General features: G+C 34.5%; 1 protein-coding gene and 1 long non-coding RNA gene across 7 annotated transcripts in view; one reads left to right on the top strand and one right to left on the bottom strand.

The window, feature by feature from the left end:
• The window catches only part of KCNH8 (potassium voltage-gated channel subfamily H member 8), a 387,133-nt gene that overhangs the window by 235,959 nt on the left and 134,436 nt on the right, over window positions 1–16,738 (top strand). For 5 of the 6 annotated variants that reach the window (XM_017005698.3, NM_144633.3, XM_017005699.2 and 2 more), the window contains 2 exons: window positions 6,013–6,170; window positions 10,636–10,843. The exons of the other annotated variant lie outside the window; for it this stretch is intronic. In XM_017005698.3, coding sequence (XP_016861187.1) covers window positions 6,013–6,170; window positions 10,636–10,843 — 366 coding nt within the window. The remainder of the gene's footprint in view (window positions 1–6,012; window positions 6,171–10,635; window positions 10,844–16,738) is intronic. 6 annotated transcript variants of the gene reach the window in all.
• Window positions 4,655–16,738, bottom strand: part of LOC105376982 (uncharacterized) — a 97,844-nt gene continuing 85,760 nt past the window's right edge. Inside the window, exons 2-3 of the long non-coding RNA XR_940640.3 lie at window positions 16,097–16,179; window positions 4,655–6,384 (exon numbers count right to left, since the gene is read on the bottom strand). This is a non-coding gene — a long non-coding RNA (uncharacterized LOC105376982). The remainder of the gene's footprint in view (window positions 6,385–16,096; window positions 16,180–16,738) is intronic.

Below are 16,738 nucleotides of genomic sequence, written 5' to 3' on the forward strand. Positions count from 1 at the left end.
CAATATGTATGAAAAACAATAACATTTGGGACTTTAAGTTGGCAAAAGTTCACTTCAGTATTTAGTAATAAAAGGGTTTTTTTAACTGTGACAATTTAATAAGGCTGCATTACTAGAAGTATTAAAATAATTCTAAACACATTAGAATTATTATTATCCCACCCAATAGGCAAAAAAATTTTAAATTTTATAACATCAAGTGTTAGCAAGGCTGTGGAGTAACAAGAACTCTGAAAACAATGCTGGTGGGAATTGTGCATATTTGCTCCTGTCTCCCACACTGGCCAGACCACTTCTGGGATGGTAAATTTAATTCCAAGTACCTTACAAGAGCGGTTTTCTTTTTATTTTCTTTATTGTATTAAAGACTTGAAAATTCCTTTTCAAAATCAAAATTGATAAGGAGGCTTACTATGTAAAATGAATAAAAGCTCAGCCTGAAAATTGGAAAGGCTGGGTGGGTGGAGGTAGAACCCAAATCCTTCCTTTCTTCGATGAGGCTTTTGTGAAAACCACCAAACTAGAGAGTATCATCGGGCCTATGAAGAGGAAACCATATCAGTAAGAGATGGTTGAAAGAAATGAAGATATTCAACCTGAGAACTGAGAGATGAACTTGACGACTGATCTCAGATATTTATAGAAAGAGCTTTGGGCTGGGAGAGGACAATGTATTCTGTGCTGCTGCTGAGAACAAAACTAGAATAAAGGAAAGGAAGTTATGAGAAAGAAGGCATTTCCTCTGACTTGAGAAAAGTAAGAAAATGATGAACACTCCACTTACATTGATTTGATCTTTATAAATTATATGAATGTATTAAACTATATGCACCCCCAAAAGATGTACATTGGTCATGTATCAATAGAAAAAAGAAAATTTTTCTAAAACATGAAAAAATAACTACCTAATGATGAACATAGCCAACTAATGCAACTATGAATAATTGACCCTACAGATACAAAGCAAAAGCCAATACCAGCATCAACTATGCCTCAATCTACCTGATTGCCCTTTGTCAGCTTCATTTTTTCTTCTAAATGCAGTTTTTCTTAAATGCTGTTTCTCACTGGGCCTACTGCTCTTTCTATTCCATTAATCTTTCACTTCAGGTAAGCAAGAGGGACAATTCTGACAAGATAAGCAAGGGTCAAGTGATATGAAACTCTTATCCACTAATATTGGCAATCAATTGCAATTATTCTTAGGATTATTAGTCCCTCAAGCCTCTCTTCATTGATCAGCTCTCTATTCATTCGTCTCACACCTTCTAGCTCAAATTTGCTGTGGTATCATAATGTGTTTGAAAGAGTGCCTCATAAGCAATGAAAAAAACAGAGTATCTTTAAATATTAGTCAACAGCTGGTTTAATTAAATATCTCTCCGCCCACACTGTACTACATTGATTACTTTTTAAAGAAATGGCTAAATGAAGACATTAATTATTTGTATGTGGTGCATATGCTTTCATGCACACTATTGTATTTTAATTTACTTTTTAACAAGTAAGCCAATATGATTTTAAAATTATTTCCCATTTGTCATGGATGCTAATAAAGAAAAGAAATCTACTAATTTTTGCCATATTAAATTTAACCTCTTTTTTTGTGCTTTCTAGTTACATAGTTCTTGAGGAAATCAAACTAGAAAAAATGGATTTAACCTTTCTGCTTTTTAGTCCGCATAAATAGACACTTAGTGTGGGAGATAAGTGAAATACTCACTTTTGGCTGCCTTAACAGTTTGGAAATAGAATATGTACACATTTTTCTCTTGATTATTTGTCTTTTATTAATCATTCTATGTAAAACTCAAATACAATAAGGCAAACTGATTACTCTGCAAAATAATTGTCATCTGAAGCATTAGATAATTCAATTATATTCTGCTTCTTTTGGGTGGGTATATTATGATTAGTTTTTTGGCAATTCTATAAACCACATAGAGTATGTATGGTAATTCTGTATTAGCCTGCTTATTTACTCATTATGATACCAATACCATGTGCCATAAAGGATTGCTTATGCATATATAAGCACATGGAGACATTAAGCTTTCTAGGTGAAAAATCCTTTTGAGTTAATTTGTTATGGATTTTGAAATTTCTTAAAAATTTAAACTGTGTGTATATGTGTGTGTTTTGTACTTATGGACAGTTGTGCAAATTGCTCATTAATGATATTAACAAGAAAATTACATATAAAACTAGATATTAATGAATATACTTTATATATTTTTCAACGTAAGGCTGAAAAACATGCTTCTAAAAATGAAAGTTATACTGCTGCTTTTCAGATGGATTATGGATTGTCTGGAGATCATATTCTTATTGTAATATTTAAATAAATTCTGATCTAATTTAAAGGGAGTGGGACAGCTACAGGGGGAGGAGCAGCTACATTCAGTGTTTGCGAAGTTCCACTCTGTTTCTGTGATTCTGTCATGAGGGACACCAGATCTAGAAAGCTCTTTTCTTCCTCAACACAATCTTTTTATGCTGTGCTTCCTTCACTTTCAAAGAACTTGTACTTGCCATCTCTACAGTTCTCTTAAATGGAAGGAAATATTTATAAACATTGAGTTATCCTGGTTCGTGAACACCACCACCACATCCTCACCACTGGATAGAAAACAGAGTAACTTCTCTGTTATCCCTGAACAAAAGCTTAGCTCTTGTACTTCCAGAATCAAAGACAGTTCATCTCACCACATTTAATTCTGTGACCCTAATTTAATATTATTTTACCTGGGTACTGCTGATGCTGAATTTGATCGAAGGACTACAATCAGAAATGCATTTCCTTGCACTGACCTATTGTTATTTCCTCTAAAATATATTTAGAAGTGCAGTAATCATTTAGATAATGGAAAGAAAATGGGATTGAATGTCAGAAAACATCCTCTGTCTCTGTTGCTTACTGTCTGTATGACTTCAAACACTTTACTTAAATCTCCTGTGTCATTGTTAAAATGCAAGTGATAGTAGTCCACCTGAGAGGATGGCATGGGAAATATTCAAATCAATGAGTGTGAAAAAGTGTTTCGTAAATATACCAGAACTATGTCTGTTCTTATAAGTACGACAAAAGTAGTTGTTCGCTTTGAAATCAGTTACTGAATAAATAATATTGATTGGATAAACATACAGTCTTTGCAAGTGTACCATACACTTTATAAGTGTATCATAGACCTAGAAATCTTAGAAAATAATATATATCTAGGTTTTTCCCCTGAAAATAAACCAAAAAATTTTCAGGTATTTCAAAAATAGATTTGTATAGATGTTTTAAAATCTTTTATTCTTTTACTATTATCTCTTTGTGTATAAAAGTCTTATAATTACTTCTTTTTAAACCTAAATTTAGCATATTTCTTTTCATTCCTTTAACTCAATTGAATAATAAATTGTTTTTTAAAAAGCTCTTTAAACGAATATTCTCTAATGACTTACCCAAGAAAATACCTGTTGTTTTTTTTTTTCAGAAGTCTGAACCACTATTTTGTTCTTTAGTGAACCACGTAACTAACCACACAGCTTTAAAAATGTTGCTGTATCAGTCAACCATAGGTCATTCACTTCATTCATTCTTCCATTCATGGGAGTGCTGCTGGAATGTATATGGATGATGGTAATGGGTTTTCCATGAAAACTGTGGTAGATTCCATGGTCACTTATTCAAGGAATTTATCCCCTTTAATTTTATAAAGAACTTATGGGCTTACCTTAGCCTATATTGCGGAAACCAAACATCACTAATGAGCTTAGTAAACAACTCTGGGTTTTCTTACTCATGAGAATTTAAGTGATTCACCTGTGCTTCCTTTTAGAAAACATGAAATTGAAATCTTTGCTTTATTTCAAAGTGGGTGGTCTGAGGTACTAAATTGCATTGCTAATGCGGAAGTACCTGAGCCTAGAAAAATAAAGAGGAAGAATGAATGTTCACATGCTACTCTTACAGTCTGATGGCATTACATTGACCTGTCTCCCTCACGGTGGCCATGCTTCCGTGGTCCATCTTTGCCACGATAGCATTTTAACTGTGCAGTGTAATTCACCTGGGATTGTTCTTATCCTATGTGAGTGCTTTATTAATTAGCTTCATTCTTTCTCATATTCTCAATATTAACAATAAAATTACCTAGATATTTTTATTTTTTGACAAAAATATCACTTTCAATAATTCAGTTTTTAAAAGTTATATCATTCACAATAGACTAGAACAACAATTGTTTTCTTTTTGGGTCACCCAGGACTTGCCTCTAGATCTGTGATAAGACTAGTCTCTGTGAAGGTACCAAACCCAAAGTCCTGAACTGGAATTCAGGAGACTTGAATTTGGGTCTTGCTCTTTCACTAACTTGGTGGAAGATGTAATCCTGTGCTTCAGTTTTATCAGATGTATCACCCAGGGCAAGTCACTTGACTTCCTTTATGCCTCAATTTCCTCATCTGTAAAAGGAGATAATAGAAATGATTACCTCTTAGCATTGTTGTAAGGCATCAATGAGATTATGATGATAAAGGACTTAGAACTGTACTGGGCTCATACGAAGAACCTGTGTGTTATCTACAATAATACTAATCTTCCTTGTCATAGCTCCTGTGCTTTTCACTTCACAAGGCTATACTGAGAATCAAATGACATAATAAGTATTGTTTCAGTTTTTATTGCTGCATAGCAAACTTATCAACTTAAAACAACATCCATTTACTGTCTTACAGTTGCTATATGTCAAAAGTCCAGGGATGGCTTAGTTGGATCCTCCGATCAGGAATTCAAAAGGCTGACATCAAAATATCAGCTGAGTTGTGTTCCTTTCTCCTGCTCAGGGTCTTCTTTCAAGCTCATAGGGCTGTTGGAAACTCACACGGATGTCATTTGATCAGCACTCAGGAGGACCTCATATATTGTAAAACGCTCGATAATATATAACTAAATAATGATGCAGGGAAAGATTGAAAACAATTACATCTTTCATTAAAATAGAATTTAACCCAGAAATTCACACAAGAAACTACCAGTACTTTGTTAATAGGAGTGCCTTCAGGGCAGGGCTGAATTCCATATCGACACAGAGATTAGTAAAACTTTTATACATGGAAATAAGTAATATTATATAAAATAAGGAATATAGATTTCAGATTATATTTAGTGGGTTTTTTGTTTTTGTTTTTGAAACAGGGTCTCACTCTGTTGCCCAGGCTGGAGTGCATGGTGCAATCATGGCTCACTGAAGCCTCAACTTCCTGGGCTCAAGTGATTCTTCCACCTCAGTCTCTGGAGTAACTGGGACTACAGACATGTGCCAGTATGCCCAGCTAATTTTTTTTGAATTTTAATAGAGATGAGTTCTCGTTTTGTTGCCCAGACTCATCCTGAACTTCTGAGCTCGGGCAATTCTTTTGCTTCGTCCTTCCAAAGTGCTGGGATTACAGGCATGAGCCACCATGCCCGGCTTGTATCTGTATTAAAACTTGACTCTGCCACTCTTGGCAATATGATCTTGGATGAATTACTTTTTCTTCCTGGGACTTGATTTCTGACTCTTTAATCAGAGTAACACTGTCTACTTCAGGAGATGTACTGAGGATTAAGTGAAATATCCTATGCCAAGCTCTTAGAACAATATTGGGTACATAGTGAACACTTAGTAAGTGATGACTATTGTTGCTATTGCTACGATTATTTATTTTAATAATCTTAACATGTAGCTTCATGTCTGGAACATTATGTGCTCAGAAAATATTACTTTCACCCTTCTTCAGTATCTGTTTAGTTGAACTGGATCTGTAGAGGAGAATATTTTGGATATTATCAATCTGAACTAGGCTAAGTGGTTGCCATTTGCCTAATTTTATTTAATTTTCTACGATTTTCTTCCTCCCTTCCTTCCTGCTTGTTTGCCTGCCTGTCTCCCTTCCTTTCTTCTTTCTTTCATTGTCCTTCCTACCTTCTTTATTCTTCTCTGTCTCTTCCTTTTATTTCTCAACCTTTTTTTTCCCAAGCAGATATTATTTTAAATTTCCGAACAACTTATGTCAGCAAGTCTGGCCAAGTTATCTTTGAAGCAAGATCAATTTGCATCCACTATGTCACAACCTGGTTCATCATTGATTTAATCGCTGCCCTGCCTTTTGATCTTCTGTATGCTTTCAACGTCACAGTGGTGAGTAAAGAGCTCCCCGCCACATGGCCTTTAAGGTTGATTTATTTATCGCATGTTCAGGTTTTAAATGCTTGTGGCGATTTATGCTTCCAGGGTTTTGTGCCTTCTTCAATAAAGATGCCCTGATGCCCAGTGATATGCAGGCCAGATTCTTCAGTTGATGAAGTTACTTCCTTTTGACATTCATATTAGCTGTTCATGCTTTTTTCAATACCTGGAGCCAGGAAACACAGAAATGCTGAATTTATCATAAATACTGACCCACTAAACAAATTCTTTAATAAGGAAATCATCTGTAGGAATTTAAGCATCACTTTATATTACCTAGGCAGATACATGTGTCAAGAATTTGCTAGAGAGTTTGAAGATTTTTTTTTCTGCTTGTATGACCCTTAACTCTCTATTTCTTTAGTATTTTGTTATTCATTGGCAAAACCAACTGAAGACTGATCAAGATAGAGAGGACTATTGAATTTAAATGAGAAAATTCAACCGCTTCTTAGAAGTCCTTGTAAAACTGTTGGATGTAGCAAAAATCTAAATCATATGACTAATGTAAAACTTGAGAGTTCTCTTGAATTTGCATGAATCTTGGTACCTTCTTTTTCTTGCTCTAAATCCCTTACCCTCATGTAGCCTCCCAGGACAGAAAGCATATCACTTGTAGTAGCAGCCATTTTTATAATTTAATGATTGGTATTCTTAAAAGTATTAAATGCTCCCTTATAAAGAAACTTTTAGGGAGGCCATTTGTGAAGCAGTAATGCAATTTTCTGCTAGAGTAACCAATTACGGCGTGTAAAACTTTATTAAACATTAGTTCAAATTAATCAGATATTCTAGTCAATTGACAGTGCTTTATAGAAATCATATTCTCTTTCAAAAATTTAAAGGCATAGTTTTAAATATTAAACACAATAATCACAGTTTCAAATACAATTATCATTAACTTCAGAATGAATATGGAATTGTGATCCTGACTTGTTAGTGCAGACTTGTGCATTTGTTAATTGCCTGTACAATAGTTTCTTTTTATTCTTTTTCTTTTTAAGTTGGGAGGTTGACAGTGCCAACATCTTTAAAACGTTTATGACTCAACTGAAAGGAAAGCTCCCAGGAAAAATCTAGTACATATCAATCACTGCTACATTGAATTGTTATCTAGGCTTTCTACAGTGCTTTTTAAGATTGAATTTGACTAGATAAGTGTACCATCATGAAACTATAATGGCTTAAAACCATGTTTTTGCAAGACTGCAGAATAAGTATATAATTCACAAAAGGTTAAAAAAATTTCCAAATTCCCCTGGCAAATTGTTTTAAATTGTTCATTAATTATTTAATACAATTCCATTTTAAATTAATTTGCTGCTTTGCTACTAAAAGCGAATACTTTTTTATGTTCCATTTTTATTTGAGTACTGAGCGAATATTTTAAATATGTATATATAATATACAATTATATTATAGGTATATATAACATACATTTTTATATCATTAACATTCTCATTCCCCAGAATTAACATGGATGAAGAAATGCCTTAAAGTCTAATTCGCATGTTTGATGAATTTTAAATATTTATATACTTTCACTACACTCCTGCTCTCTTTTCGTCAATCTTATGTAATCTAACACAAATGCTTCATAAATAATACAAGGTATAGGGCAACATCTGTGTCAAAAAAAAAAAAAAAAGAAAAGAAAAAGGGGAAGGAATCTGTTACCAGTGATACTTGTTCTGCTTTTCACAGGAGTGAGCATATGAGAATTTAAAAAGCTGGCACCTAAATTCGTTATCCCTCTTAAACAAGTTAGTCAGGATCAAATATCCTATAATATTTGAACAGAAAAGCTTGTTCAAGGTATTATGTTTTCTTCTCAGGAAAACATAAGTTATGAGGAATAACTTATGAGTTATGCTCTTTTACAACAAAGACTTAGAAAAAGAAACAAATAACCAAAGATGTTTGTCTCCCAAATCTAAAATATGTCCAGTTAATGCATCTCCATAGGTGACATTCAGAACTGCATAAGCTTTGGCTTTGGCTCTGCTCACAATTGCTCATGGCAGTTCTTTTAAGTACGGATCACATGCTTTTTGAAAACTAGTATGTATATCACTGTAGAAGGCACTTATAAGAGATACAATTATGAATAAGACATAGGAATGTTGATAGAGTAGAAAGGGCAGAAGTATGAATCCAAGTTCTATCATTTACCATCTGAGTAACTTATTTGGGGAAGTTAACATTAAAATATCCATAAAATGGGCATAATATAATTCCTACAGAGTTTTTGACCAGACTGAAAATGCAACATATCTATACAATGCTTTGCTAAATGTCTAAAACCTAAGAAGACCTCACAACATATTAGTTAGCCACCTCTCTCTCTCTTTCTCCCTTCTGGGTAATAGCTAGGAGATGACCATGTCCATTGGTAAAAGGGGAAACTCCCATTTTATAGGGGGGTTTGATGAATGCACCTGTCTATGAGTAGCTTATAATTCTCATCAGTGACAGATTTGAAACAGCATCCAAAGAGTCAAAAGAATCCTGTCCCTTTTTCAGATACATATTTCCATCTAAGTCAAATATGCTTCTTTCTCCTGTCATTCTTCAAGAGAAAACATTAAAACTGTAGCAAGAAGCTACTGACTCCGATGGGAGCAAACATAATTTCTTTAATGCCAGTTTTTATTGACTTAAGAATGAACAAAGAACTATGTGGGTCATCTGGACACCTAGGTTCAAGTTCCTAATATTTGCAGATGACTATTGTTCTCATGTACAAGCAGCTCTACATTCTTTGCTCAAACATCCCCTTTCCGGTCAGAGAAAATGGGGAGACTGTATCAAAATTATGTGTGCAGATGCCCTCCTCCATTTGGGACTTCCGTTCCAGTTTTCATTTCACTTACAAAATTGTCACCTAACCATCAAATTCATCTACCTGTAAAATAAACTCCATCCCCAGTAATATCTTTAAATAACAGAATAGAGATTACAAATCTTGGCATCTGACCATCTAGCTAACCACCAGCTTGAGAAATCATAGATGAGAACTTAGCTATAAAGGAGAAGAAAGTAAAACTTGACACAGGAGAATGACAAAAAGAAATAAAAGAGCACAGCTAGCTGTCAAGTTCTTCAAGCGCCCTTAAGAGTTTACTGTATTTGATATAGAATAATTCACAAGATTACAACTGAATATAATTTTGTTGGATATCAATTTCTACGCTGAGCTTGGAGTGTTTGCATCTTAACTTGATAATTTATTCATTCACTCATCTAATAAATATTTATTGAGCATTTTCTATGTGTCAGGTACTGTTCTAGGTATGTTTTTCTTAGAGATAAGAGAATATGGCTAGCAGAGGAAAGAATTGGAAGTCAACTGACTTTAGATAAATACAAAAGCAAACTCCCAGTGCTGACCTTGTGTCTGTTCAGTTTTGTAAAGGAAAGAGTGAGGTTAGTTAAAGCCATAAAGTTACTCCTTCTCTACTTGTGCTTTCCCCAAAGAAATTAAAGGTGACATCAAGAAGTTTGTCAAACTGCATTTCCATATGATTTAATGTTTTATTTGTTGTTTCTATCTTAGAATGTTCTTTGAAGGTATGAAAAGAAGGTGTGTTATGTGCACCCCTTATTAATGGTGATATTGACTATTCTGGTCCACACCAATGATACATATTTTTCAATTGGACCCTGAAGTCAATAAAATAACCCCTCAGCTACAAGTCTACTGCTATAGTGGATGCAAAGGCACTAGGAGACTCTTCAGAAATTCCTGTCCATTTCATTTTAATTCCCTAAGCATGTCTGAGAGAGCGCTGAGAGAGAGAAAGAGAGAGAGAGAGAGAGAGCGAGCTTCAGGCAAATGTTTCCTCTGTCCATTGATAACGTTGGAAGTATAGTACATGAGGCAGAAGATGCTACTGGTACTTGTGGGCAGAACTTACTCAAGTTTTATGGGTCTACCTATTTTAAAAAATAATCTCTAAGGTATTTTTATTATCACTTTCTGTGCCTTTACTTCAATTTGTCTGAATTATTATTATAAAGCAATTTCATTACACAGGGAAGGGAATGTAGGGTTGAAAGAAAATATGTGTAGGGGATTTGAGATATGTACAATTCTGATACCATAATGTGTTTCAGTTGTGTATCAGAATGTAAACTGCAGTATGAAATCAGACAGGAAGTGAAAAAAAGATAACCCCTAATTAAGAAAGGTGTTTACTCAAATAAATTAAATTATCCTTCCTATCCTATCCTTTATTCCAGCCTCTTTAATTCTATCACTTTCTGATATAATATGTCAAGAACAAAGAATTCATAAAAATAATAATATGAAAATAATTATACTTCATTTCCAGAATTTTTAGAATGGCTCCAAGTTAATGTTGTGGTATGAATTTAACACATGCACCAAGTTGTGCTGCTCTGTCTCTTACCACAGGTGTCTCTCGTGCATCTTCTAAAGACAGTGCGCCTCTTGCGTCTTTTGCGTCTGCTGCAGAAGTTAGACCGCTATTCCCAACACAGTACTATCGTCCTGACTCTGCTCATGTCCATGTTTGCACTCCTTGCACACTGGATGGCGTGTATCTGGTACGTCATTGGAAAAATGGAGAGGGAAGACAACAGCCTTCTGAAGTGGGAAGTTGGTAAGGGCTTACATTTGTCACATTTTCCATTTTTTAATTTAAAAAAAAAGAGTATCAAGAACTTGGAGGAAGTGAAAGATAAGTCTATAAATATATTTATTCTTACTATCAATTTGTCTAATTAATTTCTATTTTTGAATCCATGACACAAGTAATTTATTTCAATAAGGTTTTCTGGAACAACGTTACATTTTTTTCAAAAATTAATGGGTTAAACTGAGAAATTTTATATATAATCAAAATGACCAGTTTGGCTGTAGAAGTGTTTAGATAAATAATGTTCAATCTTATCTTGAAATGTTCCGATGCAGGGCTAGTAATAGTAAATCACTGGGAAACTGGCCTATGGTCTATCACTACGATAACTTAACTAATAAGAAAATGATCACTTATATTTGAGGTGGCGTATTAATAGAGAAGATATCCTACCATCCTTCCCTTTACAAGGAGAGAGAGAGTGTGTGAGAGCGAAAGTAAACAAAATAACACATTCTCCACATTTAGCACACTTTGAGAATTTGTGATGGTAGAACGGACTGGACATTTACAAACATAATTTATAGTTTTGAGTCCCCATAATACATAGGAGTTTAAGGGAGATTTTTTGAATGTTACATAATCTGCATAAATGAATCGGAAACACTATGCACATGAACACATTTTTAAACTTATGTCAACCACAGTAAATTTATAGAAAATGAAAATTCTCAAAACTATAACTCTCTATCCCAAAAATCTGCATTTTTCTCACAGTCATACCCTTTAGAGAATTGTCACAGTACCTTATGTAGAATTTTTTTTTATTAATCTGAGATTTAATCAAAAGAATCTGCTTCTCAGTTGGCTAGAAAATCCTTCACTTATCTTCTCTATCAAAAATCAATCTTGAACTTTTGGAAGAAGCTCAGACCTTTGCATAGGAGACTGCCAAGAAAGAAAAATGCCCAGACTTTTCATACCAGCACTTAATGGCTGGACATATTTGGAACATCCCTGTGTTGGCCCTCATAAATGGCAATCTCTCAGCATAGGACATATACAAAGCCTTCAAAGGCAGCACTGGAGGAAGAGCTGGAGACCTTAGGAAAGCAGGTGGAAGGGAATAAGCTCCTCTCCAAGTTCTTAAAAATACCTCTTCACATCCCAATTTTATTTCTGAGCTACACAAAACAACTGATGTGTTCTTATAATTTTTATCTTAGAATGTTTTTCTTATCTTCTTTATCAAAGCACTTTTTAAATGTCTTGCTGTGGGTCCTCAATTCTAGGAAACAAAGAAAATGGGGAAATAAAACTACCAAGTGAAAGCAAACATATCTTAGATAAAAATAAGATCCAATAAGAAAGAGAAGGAGAAAGAGAGAGAGAAGAGTTGGTTAAAAGGAGGATCAGGGTCTGAATTGTATGTGGATTAAAACATTTTCTATCTTTCGATATTGTTTTCTTCTCCATAACTTTGTCTTGAAGGCTTCCTCATCACATCATATGTCATCATCCTAATGGTGTTCAGTAAATTACAGCATTAGATCTCTGCCCTTTGTTTTGAATTCATATTAAAATTCTGACTTGTGGTCAGCACCTGATTCCTTTTTAGACCTGACCTAATTTTCCTCAGGCCCCAGACCTATACACTCATATTAATTTGTAAGTCTCGTCTGGTCTGAGAGTCTCCAGATGGGGAAATTTAGCTTATTCACACTCTCAAATTTAGTTATATGAACAAAGCCTTTTGTTTCATTTCCAACATGCCAGGCTTGCTGCAGACTTAAAATCTAGCTGTTGTTTTTCTTCCCACAACATATAGAGGTATTTATTTGTCAATTAAAAAAAAACAATCTGAATTGCTTCTATATTTACCCCCTTACTTGTATTCTTGGTCCTTGTATTATGGTTCAATGTAATGAGTAGCAGGTTGTAAGCCAGAAACCAATCTCGCAGAGAGAGCATTGTCATGAAGTAGTGGCAAGAAGAGCACTGGGCTGGGGGCAATAGACCTCTCCTGTCATCATGGTTCCATTGCTAATCAGCTGTCAGATTTGCAATATTTTTTTTCACCTGTTTGGGCCTCAGTGTCCTCGTCTACAATGTGAAAAAGCTCACCATATAATTTGAAAGTCTATTTCTGGTTTCATGAGTAATGATTATCAAGAATAAACAAACCCCAAAATGTGCTTCATATATCTATATATACACACACACATATATATACGTGTGTATATATACACACATATATATATATGTGTGTATATATACATATATATATTTTTCTTATTATGGGTCAGTGTCCACATAAACCATCAGAGGATATATTAGAAAGTACATCCTATGATCATGGCATGTCAAATAATTGATAATCTTACTCATTTATGATAAAAATGACCGAAAATTTATCTTTAGAGAATTAGATTTCCTGTCCAAGCACCTACTGGGATATGACTAGCAAGAGAGTATGCTAATTAAGTGTGTAAATATTGGGTTTACAGGCTTGTCTACAAAGACTTTCCCTTCTCCTAAAATTACTTGCATCATTTAAATGTTCATTTAAAACATTCCCCAGCTGAGATTTGAACACAGATTAAATAATCATGACCTTCCCTACCTAACTTTATAATGAAGTAGCTTAGAGTCTACGCTACTTTAATTTTTACCCTGTAATCTGTGCACTAATGGTAAATTTTACCTTTTTGGGTCCAATTATCATGAATCCAAAAATTTATCATACAAATATTTGATGAGAGAGCATGTTGTTCCTTATGTTTGTGTTTAACATTAGATGTATAAAAATAGATTCAGTTTCCCAAAGGATAAAATTTCTTTCTAATTATTGTTAATTCCATAAAATGAGATATTTAAGTGCCCATTACATACTTGGTTCTGTGTTAGGCACTGGGGATACCAAAACAAATAATAGAGCTTAAAATCTGGTGGGAAAAGTAGACAAAGATTTAATGGGCATATTACAGTGCAATATATTTTATAAAAGGAATAGGTATAGAGGGGTGGCACTAAATCTAACTAGAATATCATCAAAGGCTTCTCAGAGATGACCTGAGTTTTAAAGGGTGAATAGGCCTTGTCTGTATAGATGCTGAGGAAAAGGCATTTGTGACAGCAGGGTTATTAATATATTAAGCAATTCACTCTCACAGAAGGTGAATGGAGGTGTGGTAGAAAGGCAATGAGGCCAAAGAGGTAGGTAGGTAGATACCAGATCTTTAAAGACTGTGCTAAGCTTTAGAGTGTAGACTTCATCATAAGATACAGTGAGGGATAAAGTTCCCTTTTGAACAGTGATCCTTTGAACATAGAGCGCCACCAAACAGTGGGAGATGTTTCACTCTGCTTCATTTTCAAGGACTGTAAACTGACAATAATAATAGTGCCAACCTCAGTGGGGTTACCAGTATTAAATTAGGCAACATATATAAAGCATTTATATTGGTATGTAGTAACTGCTCAGTAAGTAACAGCTAGTATAATTCTCATTATCATTGTATTATGACAATTACTTCTAATGAAGGAAAGACCATGAACTATGACTAGTGAATACTTATCATTTTATGTACGAAAGTTACTAAGAAATAGCTTTAAAAGTATTGCCTTTGCGGTTTAGTTTGGTGCTGGACAAAAATTATATGCTTTTGCATATCTTCAAAGTAATTTATCTGTACCACCTTTCAATTGGAAAGTCAGCCTCTGAAAAATGTTTACATAGGCTCACAATTGCACATACGTAGGAAATTTTTATTTCAGGTTCATTTAGGAGGCAAGTCCTATATCAACCTTGTAACCTTGTTAGGATATATCAAATTTTTATGGAATTTAGATATAGTGCTTCAAGGGTAAGATTAAACACTGTATTAAAGAGACATGTCACAACTGAATCAGAGAGTGCTTTTTACAGTTTAATTTTTGGGAGGCTGCAAAGAAATGTTTCAGAAGGATCTCTTTGCAGGGAGTGGAGGATGCTTTATTTGTTTACAAGAGGACGTCAATAAATATCTAAAAATGTACAAGTAGACCTTGCATGTTTTCTTATATCTCAGTTAATATATGTATATATTATTTTAGCTACTATCACTTCTAAGGTTTAATCAATGATATTGAATTAGTCTCTGAAGAACTCCATTAGCATCCTAATGTGAGTTCTGATTTGCAGCTCAAAAGCTTCAGGTCTGAATCCTGCTTCAGGAATGTGATTTTGAATCAGGCATGTGATTTTGACCAAAATGACCTCAATGTGTGGTTTTTCATTAAACAATCTCAGATTTGTTGTCTATGAGTGTGGCAATACTGACTCTCATGAGTACTCACTTCACATAGTATCTGGTACATAGTGTGTGCTTGCAGTTGGTAACTGCCAGCATTATCACCACCACCTCTGCTCTTATTGTTAATTGAAGCCCTCTGAAACTCCAGCCACCTGTTCAAACTTATATCGATGAGCAATGTAGAACTGAAATAGCAATACTCTTAAAGTCTAGTGAAGAGGTGATATTTTTGTATCAGTCATGATTCTTGATTGCAAGTAAAAACAAAAAAGGAATTCATTAGCAGGATGTGTAGACTCAGAATTAGAAGGATACAAAACAAGACTAGGAAAAGAACATGAGCTAAGGTAGCCCCAGATTGCCAATGCAAGAAGTTCAATTGTGACATTTCACAAGGATGGCCTGAACATGTTTCTGTCTGTAGATCCTGTGCGGGAGTCCTAACTTCCCCTGCACCTCTGATTCACAGTGCCTGAGGGAAGAATTCAATTGGCCAAGCTAAAATCACATGCTCAGACACAGACTGCCAGGACAAGAAGACTCTTTCCATCTTACCCTTCCATGATGGAAAGTGGAGCCCTGTGTCTCTCCATTACTATATACAATGAAGAACCCACCCATACCCCTACCAGATACGATGTTAGCCAGCAAAAAAAAAAAAAAAAAAAAAAAAGCATCATAATGTCAGACAGAATTAGCTGAAATATGGAGAAGTGGTATTTTTGATGCATCTTGCTCACTGTAACAAATCTGTGTTCCTTATGTGAGTCTAACGGTGGAATCCTACTTACCAATCTGTGTTTCCTCAGCTATAATAGATTGTGTCTTGGTCAGTAGCTCCCATTTTATAGCTAAAATGTTACCTTATGTTCTTTTTCAAAATTACCTCTAAGACAATGACAATCTGAATTTTAAAATAAATAATCTACTTCAAAGGTCAAAGAGTATTTTGTAATAGAGAGGAAGCTCTTTTATCTCTTACCCTTTGGCTGGAGCAAGCGTATCCATTGCAGATGCCTAAAAGTGTATCTGTATCATGCGGGGTAGGGTGGGAAGGCCAAGAATCTAGAATGGGAAAAAAGGGATTAAGTCAGACATCATTTTCAAATTTTCATTGACAATTTTAATCCTAAATCTCCTGATCCTCGTTGGATAAAACCTCATAAATGCTGATTGATTTGAACGGCTCTCTAGTTATTAACTACTTAGCATTTACAAGCCTTTTGTAAGAAAAAAAAATGACCAGGCTTATGATGTTGTAGGCTGATTACTTCAGTAACTGCATCGGTTTTCCTAAAGAAGGTTGAATTTACTAACCCTACTTTTTCAGGGTTTACATAAAGAATTATAAAAACTTTTAAAGCTAACCCTTACTTGTAGATTCGCATTCTTAAGAATGCATGAGATAAAGAAAAGAGGAAAAAATCTAAAATGAAGTTTTCCAGCCATTAAAGTGGACACTAGTGAAGGACTCCTGGATTTATTTTTTTAAAACATAAACCAGTACCTTAAGCCTTAATGTGCACTGGAATGAACCAAGGATCTCCTTTAATATAAATTCTAATTCAGGAAGTCTGAGGTGGAGTCAAGACCCTCCTTTTTTAAACAAACTCCACAGTGATGC

The sequence above is a fragment of the Homo sapiens genome, chromosome 3 (assembly GCF_000001405.40).
Source record: "Homo sapiens chromosome 3, GRCh38.p14 Primary Assembly".
NCBI classification, from domain to species: Eukaryota; Metazoa; Chordata; class Mammalia; order Primates; family Hominidae; genus Homo; species Homo sapiens.